This window comes from Homo sapiens, chromosome 12, assembly GCF_000001405.40.
Source record: "Homo sapiens chromosome 12, GRCh38.p14 Primary Assembly".
NCBI classification, from domain to species: domain Eukaryota; kingdom Metazoa; phylum Chordata; class Mammalia; order Primates; family Hominidae; genus Homo; species Homo sapiens.
In genome coordinates this window covers 68,783,088-68,807,155 of record NC_000012.12, presented here as the reverse complement: position 1 = coordinate 68,807,155, position 24,068 = coordinate 68,783,088, and the positions used below count along the sequence as shown (strand labels likewise).

The following is a 24,068-nucleotide window of genomic DNA, read 5'->3' as shown; positions in this document are numbered from 1 at the left end:
GTTAGCTAAACCCAAAAACACAGCCATTGCAAAGAAGGAACACGTTTCTTCTCTGGCCAGTAAGTGATTAGCTCCTTGTGAACAAGGACCTTTTTTTATAAAGTTATATCCTTCCCTTCTGCAGCTTTTTTTTTTTTATAAAGTTATATCCTTCCCTTCTCCCGCTTCCCAGCCTACCAGAAAGGAAACTTCCTTAAACATAGTGGTCACTCAGTTGATTTAAGTTGATTGCCAATATTATTAACTTAAGAGATTTAATATGTGGCTTTTAAAAAGATAATCTCATCTTCATCAGATCATATACAGTGGGGTTTCTAATAGACTCAGTGCTTGACCCTGGATGAAAGAAAATCTCAAGCAGTGAGAAAATGTAAGCATGAAAAGATAAGTGATAGGCTGCGCACGGTGGCTCACGCTTGTAATCCCAGCACTTTGGGAGGCTGAGGTGGGTGGATCACGAGGTTAGGAGTTCGAGACCAGCCTGGCCAAGATGGTGAAACCTTGTCTCTACTAAAAATACAAAAATTAGCCGGGCCCCGTGGCGGGCGCCTGTAATCCTAGCCACTTGGGAGGCTGAGGCAGAAGAATCGCTTGATCTCGGGAGGCAGAGGTTGCAGTGAGCGGAGATCGCGCCACTGCAGTCCAGCCTGGGTGACAGAGCAAGACTCCATCTCAGAAGAAAAAAAAAAAAAAAGAGATAAGTGATAGAGGTTGATATTTGTTAAATATCAAGTGAACGAATGGGTTTGTGCTATAAAAGTTCAGAGACAGAATTAATTGCTTAGTAAATGCTGGAGGCAGTTCACAAAGGCCTCAGAGATCACACATATTTTGTGTCTTGAAAGATGGTGAGACTTAAATAAAAGCAGAGAATATTCCAGGCACAAGAAAATTATCAAAAAATACAGAAAGGAAAATATAAGAGGACTGTTTGAGATACAATAAATAAATCCGTTTGACTTGCATGAAAGTCAAGAAGAAGTTTTAAGAACTTGGAGTCTCCTTAAATGCCAAGCAAGGAAATTTGGGCTTTCGACAGAGTAGACATTAGAAGCATAAAAACAAGTGATTTGCTTCAAACTGTATTTTAACAGGACCACCAAGAGTAGATTCAAACTCAGAATAGTCGGGCCGGCTGCCTTCTGGACCGACTTTCCCCCTTCTCATTGGCCTTGTGCTTTGAAAAAATTATCTTGACAAAATTATTAGAGCAGAAAAAAAAAGGCAGAACTGATAAGATTAGTCCTTTTCTAATGGAACCAGAAAAGAAGGGTCAGAAATGAAGGCAGAAGGGAGAAGCGGGGGTGGGGGAGAGAGAGAGAAGTAAAAAGGATTCACTCAAGAACCTGGTATTCAAAACTACGTGTACCAGCACTACCACAGCAGTATGACTCAGTGTCCACCTAAAGCATGATGATACTGCTTACCAAAAAAAGTCTGGAGGGAATGAAAAGTTGGGTTAGTTTTAAGTTATGGGTCACAGAACAGAATTCGGTGGTAAAAAGCTTAGGCTGGGAACAGAGCTTGAAACAGCAAAGGAATGAGAGGAACGACCAAAAAGCCAAGGACCATATAGTGATGTCTGAAAAATCAGAATCAGGTAATAATATTGAATACTGCAAAAGTCAGAGAAAATGTGGAAATAAGAAAGCAAGCGATCTGGAAAGTGGCGAGTAAGATGGAATATGAGGAGGTTGCTGAGAGCTGGGAGGAGACGGCAGACAGCGGGGAAATAGACGTCTGGAAAAAAAACTGAAGATCACACAGAAAGCAGGAAATTCAAATCTCCCAAAGTGCCCATTGTGATTCAGGATGATAATTTTCCCCCGGGACCCCCTCCACAGGTCCGCATCCTCAAGAGGCCCACCAGCAACGGTGTGGTCAGCAGCCCCAAGTCCGCTAGCAGGCCCGCCCTTCCAGTCAAGTCCCTGGCACAGTGGGAAGCCGAGTACACCGAGGCCAGGAAGCGGATCCTGGGCAGCGCCAACCCGAGGAGAAGCAGGAGAAACCCATCCTCGATAGGTCTTCCTCTGATCTTCTTCCCTTCAGGCCAACCAGGATCTCCTAACCCGAAGACAGCAGACAGCCCAATAATGTGATCAGACAGCCTCTGGGTCCTGATGGGTCACACGGCTTCAAACAGCGCAGATAAATGCAGGCAAGAAGAGATGGCGCGACTGCCGCGTCAACGCGTCCTGGGTCGTCCGCCAAGGGTTGCACTACCGTGGCAGACAGCTGGACTTGAGCAGCGGGAACTTGACTTACTTGCCTGGTGATCCCCGTTGCTCCGCCCACTGTGACCTTGAATCCCATGCACTGTGACCTCCCCCCTTCTCCTCCTTCCCACTGTGATTGGCACTTTGACAAGGACTGTCCCAAGTCAATGGAAAGGGAAAAAGGGTGAGGGTTAGGAGAAGGTTGGGGGGAACCCACCAATTACTCAGAGTAGAGAGTCAGACAGGGCCAGCAATAGCGGTTTATCATGCTCATTAATTTGGGATTTCAAAACACAAATGAACTCACACCTACCCACCCCCAAGTGCATGTCATCACTTAAAAAGTGAGTTCCATTTGAAAAAAAAGAAAGCAAACTACCTGCTCACTCTAAAAGCAGTTGCTGTTGTTTGTGACTTTGCCATTTAAAAAAATACAGACCAGCTGCTGCTGTTTGCTTGCATTCCACAGTTATCTTGTGTCACTTTGCCCTTTGTTGTGCTTACTTGAAGTTTCTCTAGAGGCAAACTGCTTATTTCTAGTAGCGTTGTTCTTGATGCCCAAGAGGTGTTCCAAGAGGTTGAGATACTTTGAGTGTCTTTATATTCTCTGGGACCTAAACTCTGCAAACAAGGCTCACACCTGTAATCCCAGCACTGTGGGAGGCCAAGGCTGGAGGATCTATTGAGGCCAAGAGTTTGAGACCAGCCTGAGCAACATGGCGAAACCCTGTCTCTATAAATTGCAAAAAAAAATTAGCCAGGCGTGGTGGCACTCACCTATAGTCCTAGCTACTTGGGAGCCAGAGCTGGGAGGATGGCTTGAGCCCGGATAGGTTGTGGTGTGATCCTGCCACTGCACTCCAGCCTATGTGACAGAGTGAGACCATGTCTCAAGGGGAAAAAAAAAAGTCTACAACAGACTTATCTTGACCCAAGGGCCACTTCGTACTTGTATTTATTAGTCATAACTAATCTTTTGTCTTTCTTTTTTTTTTTTTTTTGAGACGGAGTCTCACTCTGTCACCCAGGTTGGAGTGCAGTGGCACGATCTCAGCTCATTGCAGCCTCCACCTCCTGGGTTCAAGTGATTCTCCTGCCTCAGCCTCCCGAGTAGCTGGGATTACAAGCTTGTGCCACCATACCCGGCTAATTTTTGTATTTTTAGTAGAGACGGGATTTCACTATGTTGGCCAGGCTGGTCTCGAACTCCTGGCCTCAGGTGATCCACCCGTCTCACCCTCCCAAAATGCTGGGATTACAGGCGTGAGCCACTGTGCCTGGCCACAACTAATCTTTAAAGCATGGTGAAAACTAAACAAGATTTAGCTCAGAAACCGTGTTTAGAATGCTGAGTTTCACAATATTTATGAGACCATCTAAAATTACAGAAGTAGTTCAAATTCCTTATGTCTTTCCAAACATCTGGAACTGAATAGTGTTATTTAAAAGGCAAAATCCGGGCCGGACGCAGTGGCTCACGCCTGTAATCCCAGTACTTTGGGAGGCCAAGACAGGCAGATCACTGAAGGTCAGGAGTTTGAGACCAGCATGTAAAACCCCGTCCCTGCTAAAAATACAAAAATTAGGCGGGCATGGTGGTGCAAGCCTGTAATCTCAGCTGCTCGGGAGGCTGAGGCAGCAGAATCTCTTGAACCTGGGAGGCAGATGTTGCAGTGAGCCGAGATCGCGCCACTGCACTCGAGCCTGGGCGGCAGAGCAAGACTCTGTCCTGGAAAATAAAAAAGTAAAAAATAGGCCGGGCATGGTGGCTCATGCCTGTAATCCCACCACTTTGGCAGGGTGAGGCGAGTGGATCACCTGAGGCCAGGAGTTCGAGACCAGCCTGGCCAGCATGGTGAAACCCTGTCTCTACTAAAAATACAAAAAATTAGCCGGGTATGGTGGTGCACGCCTGTAATCCCAGCTACTCCAGAGGCTGAGGCAGGAGAATTGCTTAAACCTGGGAGGCAGAGATCATGCCACTGCGCTCCAGCCTGGGAGACAGAGTGAGAGTGAGACTCCATCTCAAAAAATAAATAAATAAATAAAGTAAAAAATAAAAAGCAAAATCCCAGCAAGTAGTGAATACAAAGACTTTTTGTTTTTACTTTGAAAATTAATCAACTTTTTGTTTGACTGAAACATACAGAAACATTCACAGAACAATTAATATTCAACAAAAGAAACCACCGCCTCAAGTTCTTCTGCTCTGAAGAACAAAAAAAGAAAAAAAGAAACCACTACCCAGAATTCACATTTGTCATTCCTGCATCAAACATATTTTTTTTATTATTTATTTATTTATTTTTGAAACAGAGTCTTGCTCTGTCGCCCACACTGAGTGCAGTGAGCCAAGATTGTACCACTATGCCTGGCTAATCTTTAGTATTTTTAGTAGAGATGGGGTTTTACCATGTTGGCCAGGCTGGTCTCAAACTCCCGACCTCAAGCAATCCACCTGCCTTGGCCTCCCAAAATGCTAGGATTACAGGTGTGAGCCACTGAGCCTGGCCTAAATAAATTTTTTTAATGAAACATTGCTTAAAAAATTAAAATTTCACTGTTATTCTTTATCCCATTCCCCTCCCTTCTCTTGATAATGATCAATTTGATGCCTGTCCACTAAGTCTGTGTTTTATACATTCACTGTAAATTTATGAATCCATAAACAACACGGACAGTAGGCTGCATACCTATAAGAGGACTTGCTGGGCAACAGAATAGTAAACCTTAGAGTAAGTTTCAATATGTAACAGGAAAAGCTCTCTTTATCTTTTTCAGTATTGTTTTGGCTCTTCCTGGATGTTAACTTTTAGAACCAGTTTGTCTAATTCACAAAAAGAATCCTCTTGGGATTTTGCTTTTCATTGCATTGGATTGTTAGACTAATTTGACTTATTTTCAGTATGAATTCTTCCCAGATAAGAACATGATATATCACTCCATTTTTAGGTCTCTCTTAACATCCTTTAATAATGCTTTATTGTTTCCTCCTTAAAGCTGTTGTATGTTTGGCTGGCTTTTTTCTGAAGTGCTTTATAAGTTTTATTGCTGTTTTTAAATTACACCTTTTAAAATTTTCTTTTCTTTTTTTTTGAGATGGAGTTTCGCTCTGTCACCCAGGCTGGAGTGCAGTGGTGCGATCTTGGCTCACTGTAAGCTCCGCCTCCCGGGTTCATGCCATTCTCCTGCCTCAGCCTCCGGAGTAGCTGGGACTACAGGCGCCTGCCACCACGCCCGGCTATTTTTTTTTTGTATTTTTAGTAGAGACAAGGTTTCACCGTGTTAGCCAGGATGGTCTCGATCTTCTGACCTCGTGATCCGCCCACCTCGGCCTCCCAAAGTGCTGGGATTACAGGCGTGAGCCACCATGCCCAGCCGTAACATTTTATTTTCTATTTGGTTATTGCTAACATATGAAACAATTACTCATTTTTGTGTTTTGATCTTATAGCCAGCCAGCAATACTGCTTTTTTGTTCTTTCTGTTTTTGTTTTTTGTTTTTTGGGTTTTTTTTGAGACGGAGTCTCACTCTGTCACCCAGACGGGAGTGCAGTGGCACAATCTCGGCTCACTGCAGTGTCTGCCTCCCTGGTTCAAAGGATTCTTCTGCCTTAGCCTCCTGAGTATCTGGCACTACAGGTGCGTGCCACCACACCTGGCTAATTTTTATATTTTTACTAGAGATGGGGTTTCGCCATCTTGGCCAGGCTGGTCTCGAACTCCTGACCTCGTGATCCACCCACCTTGGCCTCCCAAAGTGCTGGGATTACAGGCTGTATTTTGTTTTGTTATACAGTACTATTAGTTTTTCAGTAGATGCTCTTGGATTTTCTATGTTAATAATATCATATGCAAAAATCACTAACTTGTCTCTTCCTTAAACCTCTTTTTCATTTTCTTACAACCATTGGAATGGAATAGTAGCAATGATAGTGGGCATCCTCATCTTATTCATGACATTAGTAAAAATGCTTTTAAAATGTGATGTTTGCTGTAAATTTTAGGTAGATGCTCTTTATTACATAAAAGTTTCCTTCTATTCCTGGTTTTTTGAGCTTATAAAAAAGTATGAATCAGTGTTCAGTTTTATACACTGCTTTTTTATGCACCTAGAAATGACCCTGTGGCTTTTCTCCTTTAATCTGTCTATGTGGTGAGATTATATTGATAGATTTCCAATATTGACCTTCCTTGTTTTACTCAGATAAAATTCTACTTAGTTACAATAGATCTCTTTTTTTGGACATTTATGAACTGAATTTTTAAGAGGAAAAATATTACACAATGATATGGGAGCATAATTGAGTTCCTGCTCTTAGAAGATAACAAATATTTCAGAGATTTTAGTAGGAATATTGCCCTGTTAAGAACGCTCAATTCTCTAAAGCTAAGTTCAAATAAGGCCCAATTCTTGGCCTGAGACTCTGGTTCCCACAAGGGCAATACAGGCTGAACTGGTTTGATAACTTTTACCATTGAGAGTTTTTTTTTTCTTTTTGAGACGGAGTTTTGCTCTTATTGCCCAGGCTGGAGTGCAATGGCTTGATCTCGGCTCAGTGCAACCTCCGCCTCCCAGATACAAGTGATTCTCCTGTCTCAGCCTCCGAAGTAGCTCAGATTACAGGCATGTGCCACCACACCCAGCTAATTTTTTGTATTTAGTAGAGACATGTTTCATCATGTTAGTCAGGCTGGTCGTGAACTCCTGACCTCAGGTGATCCACCCGCCTCAGCCTCCCAAAGTGCTGGGATTATAGGCGTGCGCCACTGCACCCGGCCACGTTTAAGAGTTTTAAGGAAGGACCAGGAATAATAGAGGTCATCTTTTCGTGGAACGAAGAGTTTATAATCTCCCAGCTGACCTAAATCTGAGATCTGTGATCGTATCTAGTCTGAAAGTTACAGAGCCATTCAGCTGGCAGAAGAAAGGTAGTGAAGTTGAACAGCATCCCCACTCTTTGGGGTGGAAAGGTTGCTGGAGTTTCCCCCAGATTAAGTGGTTCCTGGAGAAGATGGAAGGAGTATAAGCAGTTCTGCTGGTAACTCCTAAAATGGCCACTACCTGGGTAATAGAACCCTGGAAGCAAAAGACATAGAATATCTATTGGTAGAATGTGCTGGACTAGGGAGAAAGAAGTTGAGCTTCATTCATATACCCCTGCTCAACTTCCTACCAGGACCATGCCACGAGTCTTTCTGGAGAAATATCATTTGGACACCTGCCAGATGAAGAGAACTGGTGGTCAATTGGTAATAATCAGAGAAACTGGGACAACCAACAGAAAGGGACAGAAATGTTTCCCATGATCTAGTTGAGGTTGTTCATACAATGAACCACAGTTATGTCCTGCTAATAAAAGGGCAACTAATTTTGAAGGGCAATTATGTAAAGAAATGTAATTTTCCTCTCCTTCCTCCTTGCCACCCCAACTGGTATCGGGATGGCAGGAGTCATGTGTGGTTTTCTATGGCTGTGTAACAAATTACCATAAATGTAGTAGCTTAAAGCAACACAAATTATTAGCTCACAGTCCATATATCAGAAATCCAGGTAGGCTCACCTGGTTCCTCTGCTCCAGGTGTCATAAAGCCTAAATCAAGGTGTGGGCCAGCTTGGGCTCTTAAGGATCTAGGGAAGAACCTGCTTTCTAGCTTATTCAAATTGTCAGCCAAATTCAGTTCCTTGTGGTTGTAGGACGGTAGTCCCCTTTTTCTTGCTAGCAGTGAGGACCACTCTCAGCTCCTGAAGGCTTCCTGCATTCCTTGCTACACACTCCCCTCCATCTTCAAGCCAGCAACAGGGTGTTGAATCACCCTTGTGCTTTGAACCTGACTTACTCTCCTGCTATCAGCCAGAAAAAAACTCTGACTTCAAAGGCTCATGTGATTTGATGAGGCCAACCCAGATCATCTCCCTTTTGCCATGTAATGTAACAGAATGATGGGAGTAATATCTCCTCATATTCACAGGTTCCTCCCACGCTTAAAGGGGAGGGGATCATCCATAGGCAAGGTCACTGGGAGTCATTCTTGGAATTCTGAGTACCACAAGTAATAATTGGGAAGACAGAATGGGATGTGACAAGAAGACCTATGCCCTACATCCCACACCCCCATTTCCAATTCCAGGTCACCAGGGCCACAGGTCCAGCCTGCTCTGGTAAGAGGAGGAAAGCTTTGAATCAAATATTATTTGAAGTTTCAAAATGAAGAAGTCAATATTAATAACTGAAATGAGACTGCTTTAAAAACTAAAAGAACTGGCCGGGCGTGGTGGCTCATACCTGTCATCCCAGCACTTTGGGAGGCTGAGGCGGGTGGATCACGAGGTCAGGAGATCGAGACCATCCTGGCTAACATGGTGAAACTCCGTCTCTACTAAAAAAATACAAAAAAATTAGCCAGGTGTGGTAGTGGGCGCCTGTAGTCCCAGCTACTCTGGAGGCTGAGGCAGGAGAATGGCATGAACCCAGGAGGCGGAGCTTGCAGTGAGCCCAGATCGCGCCACTGCACTCCAGCCTCGGCGACACAGCGAGACTCCATCTCAAAGAAAAAAGAAAAAAAAGAACTGCCAAGTGCGGTGGCTCACGCCAGTAATCCCAGCACTTTGAGAGGCCGAGGCGGGCGGATCATCTGAGGTCAGGAGTTCGAGACCAGCCTGGCCAACATGGTGAAACCCCGTTTCTACTAGAAATACAAAAATTAGCCAGGCGTGGTGGCAGGTGCCTGTAATCCCAGCTACTCGGGAGGCTGAGGCAGGAGAATTGCATGAACCCGGGAGGCGGAGGTTGCAGTGAGCCAAGATCGTGCCACTGCACTCCAGCCTGGGCGAAAGAGCGAAACTCCATCTCAAAAAAACAAACAAACTGACTAACTAACTAAAAGAACTGAAAGATTATGGATTCGGATTAGATGTCATTGAGGGAGGCTGCTTCCCAAAGAAAAAGGGTATTACATGGTACAGTCACCAAAACACATCTGGTTGCAGTAAAACTCCAATAAGGAACCCTTTATATTGATCTTTTTAAATTAGGGCTTTTTTGTGTGGGTTTTAGAGATTGGTGTATATTGTTCTTTCCTTATATACTCTTGTCCAGTTTTGAGATCAAGGTTTTAATGGTGTTATAAAATGAGTTGAGTAGCTTTTTCTATTCTCCAAAACAGTTTGTATAAAACTAGAATTATCTGTTCATTGCAGGTTTGATGAAACTAGGCTTGAAGATGTCTTGGTATTAGAGATTTTTGACTACCATTTTTAATTTTTTAAATAATTATTGTTTAGGGCCGGGCACGATGGTTCACGCCTGTAATCCCAGCACTTTGGGAGGCCGAGGCAAGCGGATCACTTGAGGTCAGGAGTTTGAGACCAGCCTGGCCAACATGGTGAAACCCTGTCTCTATGAACAGTTTTTTAAAAAAATTAGCTGCTGGGCCAGGCGCAGTGCCTCACACCTGTAATCCCAGCACTTTGGGAGGCCAAGGCGGGCAGATCACCTGAGGTCAGGAGTTTAAGATCAGCCTGGCCAACATGGTGAAACCCCATCTCTACTAAAAATACAAAAATTAGCCAGGTGTGGTGGCGGGCGCCCGTAATCCCAGCTACTCAAGATTACAAGCATGAGAATCACTTGAACCCAGGAGGTGGAGGTTGCAGTAAGTAGAGATTGTGCCACTGCACTCCACCTTGGGCAACAGAGTGAGACTGTCTCAAAATAATAACAATAATAACTATAATAATAATTATTATTATTATTTAGATTTATTTCTCCTGAAGTCAATTTTGTTTATATTTTTCTAGAAAATTATTTATCACAACTTTCTATTTTTTAGATATGATCTTTTGATGTATGTCTCTACTATGTCTGTAATTATGTTGTCCTTTTCAATCTTATTATGTGTTATTTAATATTAGGGATGTCAGCCAGGCATGGTGGCTTATGCCTGTAATCCCAGCTACTCGGGTGACTGAGGCACGAGAATTGCTTGAACCCAGGAGGCAGAGGTGGCAGTGAGCCGAAATCACACCACTGAATTCCAGCCTGGGTGACAGAGTGAGACTTTGTCTCAAAATAATAATAATAATAGGGATGTGTTCTAATAAGCTAGAGTGAGTGGGTGATCATAGTCCTAATGGAGGCCTATTCCCAGCAATATGAAGAGATATTTATGGCCCAAATACAGTCACGCACCACATAACAACGGTTCAGTCAATGTAGACCACACATACGACAGCGGTCCGGTAAGATTATAATGGAGCTGAAAATTCCTATCACCTGTTGCCATTGTAGCTGTCTTGATACTGTAACGAAAGGCATTACTCATACATTTGTGGTGATGCTGCTGTAAACAAAACTATTGTGCTGCCAGCTGTATAAAAAAATAGCACATACAGCCGGGCGCGGTGGCTTACGCCTGTAATCCCAGCACTTTGGGAGACCGAGGCGGGCGGATCACGATGGTCAGGAGATCAAGACCATCCTGGCTAACACAGTGAAACCCCATCTTTACTAAAAATACAAAAAATTAGCTGGGCGTGGTGGCGGGCACCTGTAGTCCCAGCTACTTGGGAGGCTGAGGCAGGAGAATAGCGTAAACCCAGGAGGCGGAGCTTGCAGTGAGCTGAAATCGTGCCACTGCACTCCAGCCTGGGCGACAGAGCGAGACTCCACCTAAAAAAAAATACAATTATGTGCAGTACACATACTTGATAATGATCATAAGCCACTGTTACCAGCTTATGTATTTACTATACTATTTGTTGTTGTTTTAGAGTGTACTCTTTCTACTTATTTAAAAAAAAAAAAAGAAGGTATTCCAGAAGAAGGCCTTGATATCAATAGGAGATGGCAACTCCGTGAGTGGAATTGCCCATGAGGACGTACCAGTGGGACCAGATGTGGAGATGGAAGACAGTGATACTGGTGATCCTGACCTTGTATAGGCCTAGGTGCGCATTTGTGTTTTAGTTTTTAACAAAAATGTTTAAAAAGAAAAAAAAATAGGCCAGGTGCGGTGGCTCACGCCTGTAATCCAAGCACGTTGGGAGTCCAAGGTGGGTGAATCACCTGAGGTCAGGAGTTCGAGACCAGCCTGGCCAACATGGCGAAACCCCGTCTCTACTAAAAAAAATTAGCTGGGCGTAGTGGCACACACCTGTAATCCCAGCTACTTGGGAGGCTGAGGCAGGAGAATTGCTTGAACCCGGGAGGCGGAGGTTGCAGTGAACGGAGATCACGCCAATACACTCCACCCTGGGCGATAGAGCAAGACTCTGCCTTAAAAATAAATAAATAAATAGAAAAAGCTTATAGAATAAGGATATAAAGGAAGAAAATATTTTTGTACAGCTGTACAGTGTGTTCATGTTTTAAGCTAAGTGTTATTACAAAAAGTTTTAAAAAAATTTTTAAAGCTTATAAAGTAAAAAAGTTGGCCGGGCATGGTGGCTAATGCCTGTATTCCTAGCACTTTGGGAGGCGGAGGCAGGCAGATTGCTTGAGTTTAGGAGATCAAGACCAGCCTAGGCAATATGGCAAAACCCCATCTCTACAAAAAATACAAAAATTAGCTGGGTGTGGTGGCGTGTGCCTGTAATCCCAGCTACTCAGGAGGCCGAGGTGAGAGGTTGGCTTGAGCCCAGGAGGCAGAGGTTTGCAGTGAGCCAAGATAGTGCCACTGCACTCCATCCAGCCTGGGCAACAGAGCCAGACCCTGTCTCAAAAAAAAAAAAAAAAAGTTACAGTAAGCTAAGGCTAATTTATCATTGAAGAAAGAAAAATGTTTTAAATAAATTTAGTGTAGCCTAAGTGTACAGTGTTTCTAAAGTCTACAGTAGTGTACAGTCATGTCCTAGGCCTTCATATTGATTCACCACTCACTCACTGACTCACCGAGAGCAATTTCCAGTCTGCAGGCTCCATTCATGGTAAGTGCATTATATAGGTGTGCCATTTTTATCTCTTATACTGCATTTTTGCTGTACCTTTTCTATGTTTAGATATGTTTAGACACACAGATACTTACGGTTGTGTTACAGTTGCCTACAGTATTCAGTACAGTAACATGCTGTACAGATAGTAGCCTAGAACAATAGGCTACACCACATGTTCCAAATGTGTAGGCTCTACCATCTCAGTTTGTGTAAGTACACCTCTGTCATGTTCACACAACAATGAAATCACCTAAGCACACATTTCTCAGAACATATTCCTGTTTTAAGTGACACATGACTGTACTTACTTTCCTATCCTCCCTTGCGGTTAGGACAGAGGCTGTTACCTAGACTTAAAATTGGGAACAAGTGGTATAAAAGCCAAAATCTAGTAGCTCCATTCCTGGGTGGGGTGCCCGAAGGTAGTTGGGAGTAGCAGCATAGCAGGTCAGAGATACTGGAATAGTCCAAGCTGTGGTGCCCAGGGTCCTGCAGAGGTCAGGATGTCCTCACTGGGCTGCTTTGGGGCATGATTTGAGGAAACAGCTGCACCCAGCCTCCCCTGTACCTGCTCATTTTCCAAGCTGCTACTTCAGCCTTTCCAATGGTTCTTTAAGCCAATATCATTTAACTACATTTTCTCCCTAAAGCATACAAGGTCGGTGTTATGGGTTGAACCATGAACCCCAAAATTCTTATGTTGAAGTCCTAACCCCTCTATCTCAGAATGTGACCATATTTAGGTTGTTACAGATGCAATTAAGATGAAGTCATACTGGAGCAGGGTGGGCCCCTAATCCAGTGTGACTGCTGTCCATATAAAAGGGGGAAATTTGGATCCAGAGACACACACAGTGGGAGAACAGTATGTGGGGATTGGAGTTATGTTGCACAAATCCAAGGAAATACCAAAAGCTAGGAGAGCGACCTGAAATAGATCCATCCCTAGAGGCTTCAGATCAACCATGGCTCTGCCGACATTTTAATTTCAGACCTGGCCTCCAGAACTGGAAATAATAAACTCTGTTGTTCTGAGCCACATGGTTTACAGCACTTTATTAGCACAGCCTTAGCAAACAAATACAGTTGATTTCTGCTACTTACCACTGAGGATCATGGCTGGTATTATTTTGTACTGAGTAAATAATTATGAGACAACCCAGAACTTGGCAAATCTGACAGCTCAGGCAGAGATGGGTGCTTTAAATGACAGGTCGGCATGGTCTTCAAATTCTCACAAAAGTAGTCCTGCCTTGCAGGCCTGTCGAGCAGTCTTTGGTAGCATTCAAGTCCTCCTCCCAAGGCAAGTTGGAGTGGTTCGATGCTCAGTAGGTTCCTTAGGTGGGTGGGAGAATCCCAGCCCTTGAGCCTGCAGCCTCTTCCTGGCCACTCCCTTTTCCTGGTGGCTGAGGTGTTTGGAACTCTCTGTCCACCACAACTAGCTCAAGATGTCTTGGCTGTTGGTCTTCAAAGTGGTTAAAAAGACACTGCGCCTCCTCCCTGATGAGGATCTGCCTCACAGTCATATGGCTCTTTAATTTTTTCTCCTGTGGCTAGATCTAGAAGGCAACTGCCACCTAATCTCTGGCAGTCCCCAAAACAGGTCACTGTAACACTTGCTTTATTAAAAAAATGCCATGATAGTCTTTGTTTCTTTATTCTAAGCCAACACTGTCACTTACGTAGGTTATGTCAGATGTTTGGGGTCAATCTGTTCCCTAGAACCCAAAGTCAATGGCAGAAAGTTAAGCCAAAGAAGCACAAATGACCCATCTTGCAGTGCATGCCTGGCTGAGGATAGCTCAGGAGAGTACTCATGGGCTGAGAGTTTTAGCAACATAGTACATTTACCCTCATTGGCTGAAGCAAACAGTACAGCTGCCTTACCAGCTCTAATTGGTCGTGACCATAGGTGGCACTATGAACAAGATTGTAAGAGATTATTATATACAATGTGGGGGTTACACATTTAACTCACTCCAACTCAGAGAGGCAGATAGAAAAGTAGCACTTTAATTTTGCCTATAAGTATTCCTGAGGCTGTACCTGCAGTGTAATAGGAAAACTAATTAAATGTCCAATATTATTTAGATCTGGTTGGATCTGTTTATTTAATCAGCAATTTAGGCAATGTCTCTTAAATAGAAATGTCAGTCTTTTTTTTTTAGATTTCCCTGACCCTCTGCTTTTCTAAGTCAGTATCCTAGTATTTTAGCGGGGAGGGATATCCTGGCCATGTGCTGTTCTGTCAATTCTGCTCCCATCTGCTGCTTTCCAGCCCCAAGTCTTTTGCCCACCTTTTTACTCTCCATTCTGTTAGCCTCTGATGCTGCAGCCCGGAGGTTCAAGCCCAGTCCCCAGTAATAAAGTCTAATCCTGTTTGGCTTGCTCTGTGAGTACGTTGGTTTCAGCACCTGCTCACTGCTTAGATTTTTGGGCTCCCTTTTCATTCCTGGTACAAAAATTATCGTGCTCTCTCTCTCTCTTTTTTTTTTACCTTTTTATTTTATTTTATTTTATTTGGATGTAGAGATGGGGTCTCACTATGTTGCCCAGGCAGGTCTTAAACTCCTGGGCTCAAGCGATCCTCCCACCTCAACCTCCCAAGTAACTGAGGCCAGGCAGGAGCCACTGCAGCCCACTCCATAGCACATTTATATACAGGAAGTATTAATATATAAAAATGAGAATTAGGCCAGGTGCAGTGGCTTGCACCTGTCATCCCAGCACTTTGGTAGGCTGAGGTGGAAGGATTGCTGGAGCCCAGGAGTTCAAGATCAGCCTGGGCAACATAGGGAGATGCCATCCCTACAAAAATAAAAAAATTAGCCAGGCATGGTGGTGCATGTGTGTGGTCCCAGCTACTCAGGAGGCTGAGATGGGAGGATCACTTGAGCCTGGGAGGCCGAGGCTGCAATGAGCTATGACCTCACCACTGTATTCCAGCCTGGGTGAGAGAGCCAGATCCTGTCTCAAAAAAACAGGGAGTAGGGCAATTAAATAGTAAGAATTTGATCATGATTGTCTAGCATAGGAATAATCAATTCACTGGAAAAATACATAAAAATTTCTAGGCCTTTCCATAGCTGGAAAGAAATAGCTTCCTAAATTAGTCTACTCCCTTACCTCTGATTATATGGTCCTTAAAAACTTCCTGCTAACCAGGCCGGGCGCAGTGGCTCACGCCTGTAATCCCAGCACTTTGGGAGGCTGAGGTGGGCAGATCACGAGGTCAGGAGTTTGAGACCAGCCTGGCCAACATGGTGAAACCCCATCTCTACTAAAAATACAAAAATTAGCTGGGCGTGGTGGCAGGTGCCTGTAATCCCAGCTACGTGGGTGCCTGTAATCTCAGCTACTTGGGAGGCTGAGTCAGGAGAATCGCTTGAAACTGGAAGATGGAGGTTGTAGTGAGCCGAGATCGCACCATTGCACTCCAGCCTGGGCAACAAGAGTGAAACTCTGTCTCAAAAAAAAAACAAAAATAAATAAATAAATAAACTTCCTGCTAACCTATCTAATTTCACAGGTACCTTGATGCAAAGGAGATGCTCATGGAGGGGAAATGCATTGTTTAGGTAGATCCACCTTCCAAATTAAGGAACTGATATTCCAGTGTATAAATCAGTCTCTTTAATTTTTTTAACATTATTATTATTATTATTAAGACGGCGTCTCGGTCTGTCACCCAGGCGGGAGTGCAGTGGCGCAATCTCGTTTCACTGCAACCTCCACCCGCTGGGTTCAAGTGAGTCTCCTGCCTCAGCCTCCCTAGTAGCTGGTATTACAGGCACCTACCACCACACCTGGCTAATTTTTGTGTTTTTAGTGGATTTCACCATGTTGGCCAGGGTGGTCTTGAACTCCTCAGGTGATCCGCCCACCTTGGCTTCCCAAAATGCTGGGATTACAGATGTGAGCCACTGCATCCAGCCTTTTTAAGAAAATTTTTTGAGATAGAGTCTTGCTGTGTTGCCCAGGCTGGAGTGAAGTGACACGATCACAGCTCACTGCAGCCTCAACCTACTGGGCTCGGCTCAAGCAGTCCTCCTTCATCAGTCTCCCAAGTAGCTAGGACTGTAGGTAAGCGCCACCACACCTGGCTAATATTTAAATTTTTGGTAGAGACAGGATCTCCCTGTGTTGCCCAGCCTGGTCTCAAACTTTTGGGCTCAAGCAGTCCTGTCTCAGCCCCGTAAAGTGCTGAGATTACAGGCATGCATGCCTGGCCTCTTTAATTGTTTAAACATCTTAATCCATACAGTTTTTTTTTTCTTTTTTTCTTTTTGAGACAGAGTTTTGCTCTTGTTGCCCAGGCTGGAGTGCAATGGCGTGATCTCGGCTCACTGCAACCTCTGCCTCCTGGGTTCAAGCAATTCTTGTGCCTCAGCCTCCTGAGTAGCTAGGATTATAGTCATGCACCACCGCGCCACCCCCCTCCCCCCTGGCTAGTTTTGTATTTTTAGTAGAGATGGGGTTTTTCCACTTTGGTCAGGCTGGTCTCAAACTCCCGACCTCAGGTGATCCGCCCGCCTCGGGCTCCCAAAGTGCTGGGATTATAGGCATAATCCATACAGTTTTCTTAATTTCTAATTCTATGATTCCATCTCCAGGGCTTTCGCATCTGGTCCATAGAAGGTACTTAGTACATTTGTTGAATGAATAGATGACCACATCATTGCTGTTGTTTTGTTTAAAATTTTAAATGTTATGAATCACAGTCATTTTCTTCCCCATGGGATTACTATGTAAATGATTTGTTTCTGCTGAGGGATTATAGGCCGACAATTTGAAGTAGAGCTAATTATATTCAAGGCAGATTGTAAACATCTCATTCATTTATTCACTCATTCAATAAAAACTTGCTAAGTGCCTATTAACTTGGATGCTCTGCCCTGGGGAATACGATAATCATAATTTTTAAATTTTTTTAATTATTATTTTTTTGAGACAGAGTATTGCTCTGTCACCCAGGCTGGAGTGCAGTGGTGCAATCTTGGCTGACTGCAAGCTCCACCTCCCGGGTTCCCGCCATTCTCCTGCCTCAGCCTCCCGAGTAGCTGGGGCCACAGGTGCCCACCACCATGCCCGGCTAATTTTTTGTATTTTTAGTAGAGACAGGTTTTCACTGTGTTAGCCAGGATGGTCTCGATCTCCTGACCTCATGATCCACTTGCGTCGGCCTCCCAAAGTGCTAGGATTATAGGTGTGAGCCACCGCACCCAGCCAATAATCATAATTTTTAAAAGAAACTGTCCCAGCTACTCAGGAGGCTGAAGTAGGAGGATCACTTGAGCCAGGGAGTTCGAGGTTGCAGTGAGCCGTGATGGTGCCACTGCACTCCAGCCTCGGTGACAGAGCAAGACCTTGTTTCAAAAAACAAAACAAAACAAGAACTATAGTTCTTGTTTTTTTTTTTTTTTTTGAGACAGTCACCCAGGCACATGCCACCGCACCTGACTAATTTGGTTTTTTTTGTATTTTTAGTAGAGACGGGGTTGCACCATATTGATCAGGCTGGTCTCAAACTCTTGACTTCAGGTGATCCACCCGCTTCAGCCTCCCAGAGTGCTGGGATTACAGGCGTTAGCCACCGCGCCCAGCCCAAAAACTATAGTTCTTACAGTGGAAGGTGGAAGGAGTTGCAATTGAAAATAGTTAGATGTTCTAAGCAGCATGTTGATAAAGGTGGGGAAACCAAGCTGTGTGTACTTAGAAATGGGAGAAGACTAGTAATCATTAACTAGAGAGGTCTATTGATCTCTAGGGCCTCACTCATCCAGCAGAGGTTTAGGTGGCAAGCATAAGGTTAAAAATCCCAGGCCTTTCCAGAAGACTGGTGAGTCACATGGACGGGTGGACCAAGAACTGTTGGACATTTAGTTGCTTTCCTATTTTTTTTGCTATTATCAATAATGTTTCTCAGCCTGATGGTGCACACCAACTTAGGAGACTGAGGCAAGAGGATTGCTTTAGCCCAGGAGTTGGAGGTTGCAGTGAGCTATACTCGCACCACTGCACTCCAGCCTGGGCAACAGAGCAAGACCCTGTCTCTAAAAATGATAATAATAATAATGCTGTGATAAACTTCTCTGCACAAAAATCTTTATGCAGGGCTGGACGTGGTGGCTTACACCTGTAATCCCAGTACTTCAGGTGGCTGAGGCCAGAGAATCACTTGAGGCCAAGAGCTCAAGACTAGCCTGGGCAACAAAGAGAGACCTTGTCTTTACAAAAAAATTAAAAAAAAAATAAAAAACTTAGGCACACTCGGTGTCATAAGCCTGTAGTCTCAGCTACTCAGGAGGCTGAGGTAGGAAGATGGCTTGACCATGGAAGTTTGAGGCTGCAATGAGTTATGATCTTGCCACTGCACTCCAGCCATGGTGACAGTGAGACCCCATCTACAAAGAAAATCTTTTTGCACATCTTTACTTTCTTAGGATAAACTCCTGAAAGTGGATTTTCTGGGTTACAGGGCATGAGCATTTTTGTGGCTATGCAATTTATGGTCTCATGATGAATGTAAGATGGTACTTGTTTTCCCATACCCTCGACAGGACTAAATTTGGGAAAACATGGATTTATAGGTCTCTATGAAAATTAAAATGTTTCCCAATTTTATATGTTTAAAAATTTCATTTAAGAACAATTTAAATCCATTGGAAAGAGCTGTAGAAAAAGGAATTTGTAGTAAAAGGGATTTGCTTTGTGTTGTACTTCAGTGAGTGCTGGGTCTTTTTTTTGTATTAATATTCCCAAGTTGAAGTAGAAGTGTTCATCAATGCTTTAACTTGTGGGCTTAAAGGAGAGGTGTGATACAAGGAAAAAGGGGTGGTGGAAAATATTTTTTAAAAAAATGTAACAGGCCGGTTGTGATGGCTCACACCTGTAATCCAAGCACTTTGGGAAGCTGAGGCAGGTGGATCACTTGAGGTCAGGAATTCGAGACCAGCCTGGCCAACATGGTGAAACCCCGTGCCTACTAAAAATACAAAAATTAGCCAGGCATGGTGACACCCGCCTGTAATCCCAGCTACTTGGGAGGCTGGGGCAGAAGAATTGCTTGAACCCAGGAGGAGGAGTTTACAGTGAGCCAAGATCGTGCCACTGAATTACAGTCTGGGTGACAGAGCGAAACTCCATCTCAAAAAAAAAAAAAAAAAGGAACACGATAAGAAATCAAGGCGAAAAGAAGAAAAGAACAAACATGGGAAAGGAAAATGATGGGAAAGCAGGCAGGCCCGGACTCTGGCCACCGCACGGGCTTTTGCCTGGACTTGCCCATTTTCCTGTGTCATTGCTGTCCCATGTTTTCAGTTCACAAGTTGAGCAACTGCAGCTTCCTTTATCATTAGAAGAGGAAATGAAAGAGCAAGGGTACAAGTAATTACTGGGGCCAGCACAGAATGTTTTTTGTTTGTTTTTTTCTTTTTTTTTTTTTTGCCCGGCTTGTTTTGTTTTTTTAGAGGGAAAACCCATGTGTTGCAACTTGTTCAATCACCAGGATTTTAGTCCTCTGACCTTCAGACGTTAGTCATTCCTTCCTCTTAAACAGCTCCTTCCCTAGTTTTTGAACTGGTCTTTGGGTTAAACACAACAGGGCCCTTCTAACCTCTCAGAAAAGTCTGAGAAATAAATTCAAATTCTAATAAGTAGTATTTCTGAATGTTAAAATATGTATGAATTGGCTACATATTTTATATTGTTAGTTCTCTCAGGATCTTTCCTATATAGTGAAATTCACTGAGCTAAAATGTAATGTTAAATACTTACAAGAGGCTTTGGTTATAAAATGACTGAAGAGGAATTTCTCTATAAATAGGTTTAGGTTTAGGAAACCTGCAATAGCAGTGGCTCCACCTAAAGACCAGAAAATGACACAGTCTAACTGTGATGTTTTCAAGCTTAGAGGCGGTCATTCACTTTAAAAGTAAAGCGACATGGTTTTTATCTCTCACCACCTTGCTTAAAAGTGATGCAGATAACTTAAAAAGTGATTTAAAAACATAAATTCAGCACATAAAACACATAATCCATAAAACACAGCACATAAAAGTATGATAGAAAATTATTTAATAATTTTAAAAAGTAAATTGTAGTTACTCTTAAAAGAAGACTAGAGTCTTTGCCACAGTTAAAAAGTAAGTAAGGTTAGGCCAGGCGCGGTGGCTCAAGCCTGTAATCCCAGCACTTTGGGAGCCCAAGGTGGGCAGATCACGAGGTCAGGAGTTCGAGACCAGCCTGGCCAATATGGTGAAACCTCCGTCTCTACTAAAAATACAAAAATTAGCCGGGCGTGGTGGCAGACGCCTGTAGTCCCAGCTACTCGGGAGGCTGAGGCAGGAGAATCGCTTGAACCTGGGAGGTGGAGGTTGCAGTGAGCCGAGATCGTGCCACTGCACTCCAGCCTGCGTGACAGAGCGAGACTATGTCTCAAAAAATAAACACATAAAAATAAAATAAAAAGTAAGTAAGGTTAAAAAGAAAGAAAAGTAAACTAGAGTCCAGACCAAACTAGACCAGAACTTTCCTAGCAAAATTGAAACAGTTATTTAGCTGAGTGTGGAAAGGTAAATCCTATGCATCATGTCACAAGTACACACATCATTGCTAGGTGGGATGGCTCATGCTTGTAATCCCAGTGCTTTGGGAGGCTGAGGCAGGAGGATTGCCGGAGCCCAGGAAGGTGGCTTGAGACTGCAATGAGCTGTGATTGTGCCACTGTAGTCCAACCTGGGGGTCAGAGACCCTGTCTCAAAAAATAAAAAACAAAAAAACCCCGCAACAACAACAAAAAAGAAGTTCACCATCAACCAGTTTATTGATTTACTGCCACTATCCTCTTGGCCAAGTATCAAAATATTTTAAGCATGAATTTGGCTGTGACCCTTAATTCATTAATTAATTCATTTACTTTTAGAGATAGGGTCTCGCTATGTTGGCTAGGTTGGAGTGCAAAGTCTATTCGAGGCATGACTGTAGTGCACTACAACCTTGAACTCCTGGGCTGAAGCGATCCTCCCACCTCAGCCTTTCAAGTAGCTGGCACCACAGGCTCACACCATCATACCCAGCAATTCATATATTTAACGAATATTTACTGGCACAGTGCAAGGCATTTAAAATATAGCCTGATTAAAACATATATAACCTGTGCCTTTTTTGAGCTTGCAGTATAGTAAAGGAGAAATACAAGAAGCAAATAAATATATAATTGCAAACTGGGATGAGGCATTAGAAGGAAAAGAACTGAGTTCCTAAAAGAGAGACTAGCAAGGTTGATCTTGCTAGTCTGAAATCTGACTGAGATACCATGAGTAATGATCACTTGATTACTCAGAGAACTGCAGCATTTTGGTACAGCTGGTGGTACGTTAATATTTCCTTGTTCATATCTGTGTCCTTGCATAACTTTTTAATATTTGGCCATGCTCTTTGGCCTCTAAATTGAAAGCTCTGTGGTGAAAGGCACTATCTTCCACTTCTTCCTAATTTTCAGAGTATAATACGGGGTGCTGTGTGCAGGACTCATGCTCCTGACTGAATAAAAGACTATTTCTTTGAGTCTAATTAGTTGGGAAAGTCCCCTTGGTTAGATTGCTTTGCCTAATAATTTTGTATTCCTAGCATTTCAGAGTGCCTGGCAGCCGGGTGCAGTGGCTCATGCCTGTAATCCCAGCACTTTGGGAGGCTAAGGCGGGCAGATCTTCTGAGGTCAGGAGTTTGAGACCAGCCTGGCCAACGTGGTGAAACCCCATCTCTATTAAAAATACAAAAATTAGCTGGGCATGGTTGTAGGTACCTGTAATCCCAGCTACTTGGGAGGCTGAGACAGGAGAATCACTTGAACCCAGGAGGCAGAGGTAGCAGTGAGTTGAGATCACACCACTGCACTCCAGCCTGAGCAACAGAGCGAGACTCTATCTAAAAAAAAGAAAAGAGTGCCTGACATAATCAGTGCTCAATAAAATCTGTGGAATAGTGAATAAAAGACCAAATGGATGATTAATTTTTTCACTATACTGATATACCCATTTTATTTTATTTGAGATGGGTTCTTACTCTGTCAGCCAGGCTGGAGTGCAGTGGCACAATCATGGCTCACTGCATCCTTGACCTCCCCAGGCTCAGGTGATCCTCCCACCTCAACCTCCTGAGTAGCTGGGACCACAAGTGCATGCCACCATGCCTGGTTGATTTTTGTATTTTTTGTAGAGACAGGATTTTGCCATGTTGCCCAGGCTGGTCTTGAACTTTTGGGCTCAGGTGACCTTCCCATTTTAGCTTCCCAAAGTGCTGGGATTACAGGTGTGAGCCACTGCACCCAGCTGATATGCCTGTTTTCGTGTCCAGTTAAATCACTCACTTAATCATTTATTCAACAGATAATTATTGAACACATACTAAGAACCAGGCATTGTGCCAGTACTGGGGATACGAAGGTAAACAGAAACAGACAAGATCCTGCCCTTGTGGAACTTATACTCTAGTAAGTACTTTAAAGTCAGAGGTAGACTATTGATCAAGCAGATATAGTATCCTTTTTGGTGTCGAGAGAGAAAAGGAATGTGTCCATACCTTAATGCAACCATATAATTCCCAGAAGTTAGAGCAGGGCTCCTTCATGAGCAGAAGGTACAGTCTGTAATTAGGGCTGAGAGGCAGGTGGCTACGCCCTGGACTGGGGTTAGTCTCTTGGGTTTAGTCTCTTAGAAAGCAATGTGGTTTGCAGTTCTGTTGCAATCCAGATGATGGAATGCCTACCACGAAGGAGCAAGCCCGACCTCAAGCGATAGAGACCTTTTGAGCTAAGTTCCGTCCTTCACCCAGTGCCTGTGTATTGGAATGGGTGGAGTGGGTGAGAGCGGGCTGAGAGGAAGCAAAGCCGTGGAGATTCCACAATGTTAAGATTAAAGAGAAGGATCAGCACAAACACCTCAAGAATGTGACGTGGTGGGTGGTCTTATTTTCCTTGTTCTGGAGAAGGTTGCGTTTTCCTACCAAAGCTGACAGCTGGGTTCCCTTACCCCTGAGGGTGACTGATGTTTGTTCCTAGAGAGGGAATTACATGCCTCTGGCCTGTCTGTGTAGATCTGACAACAGCCATCATACCCTTGTAACCCCCTTTTTGGACCATAATGGAAGTTAGAAAAGTCACACAATGACCAACCTGTACAGAGGAACTTGTCACAGAGTGGACTGTTCAGTTCCACAGTTCATTGTTGTTTCTTTATAACTCAATTAGAATAAGACACAGGTTCAAAAAGAAGCAATGCATCTATGACTGCTCAAATTGAGAGAGAAACTTTTCAGGGGAATTATTCACAAACTCCTTTTCACTGAGCTTATGGCTACTGTTCCTCCCTCAAGTGATAGATTCCAACGAGGTGTCAGAATGGCTTTGATAGCTTCCAGTTCCCCAGACCTAAGGCAAAGAGGGATAAATAAGATCACACACACACACACACATACACACACTTTTATATGCATTAACAAGGCAGTTTTAATCCATGGAGTGATTTTCTCTAAAAGAGGCTTTAAAGATTATGAGTGTGGGTTCTGTGGCTGCACTGCATTGGTATTCTAGCTCTGACACCAGTTTCTGCATCTGTAAAATGGGTTGTTACAAGGATTAAACATGTTATTATCATTTTTAATGATAATAACATGGAATCCTCACTGAAGGCAGTTTTTTTTCTTCTTTTTGTTTGTTTGTTTTTCTGAAACGGAGTCTCGCTCTGTCGCCCAGGCTGGAGTGCAGTGGCGCGATCTCAGCTCTCTGCAACCTCCGCCTCCCAGGTTCAAGCAACTCCTCTGCCTCAGCCTTACAGGCATGCACCACCATGCCCAGCTAATTTTGTATTTTTAGTAGAGATGGAGTTTCACCACGTTGGCCAGGCTGGTCTCGAACTCCT

General features: G+C 43.7%; 1 pseudogene across 1 annotated transcript, besides 2 other annotated features; it reads left to right on the top strand.

Annotated features, from left to right (window-relative positions):
• SZRD1P1 (SZRD1 pseudogene 1) lies at positions 1,662-2,719 on the top strand (annotated as a pseudogene). Its single transcript, NR_073494.1, has one exon. The product of NR_073494.1 is annotated as an SZRD1 pseudogene 1 (transcript).
• Positions 18,803-19,356: an enhancer, noted in NCBI's record as "H3K27ac hESC enhancer chr12:69181580-69182133 (GRCh37/hg19 assembly coordinates)". NCBI's record gives its function as "activates a minimal SCP1, AML or CMV promoter by ChIP-STARR-seq in primed H9 embryonic stem cells {active_cell/tissue: H9 hESC(primed)}" and the evidence as "EXISTENCE:reporter gene assay evidence [ECO:0000049][PMID:30033119]".
• Positions 19,357-19,911: an enhancer, noted in NCBI's record as "H3K27ac hESC enhancer chr12:69181025-69181579 (GRCh37/hg19 assembly coordinates)". NCBI's record gives its function as "activates a minimal SCP1, AML or CMV promoter by ChIP-STARR-seq in primed H9 embryonic stem cells {active_cell/tissue: H9 hESC(primed)}" and the evidence as "EXISTENCE:reporter gene assay evidence [ECO:0000049][PMID:30033119]".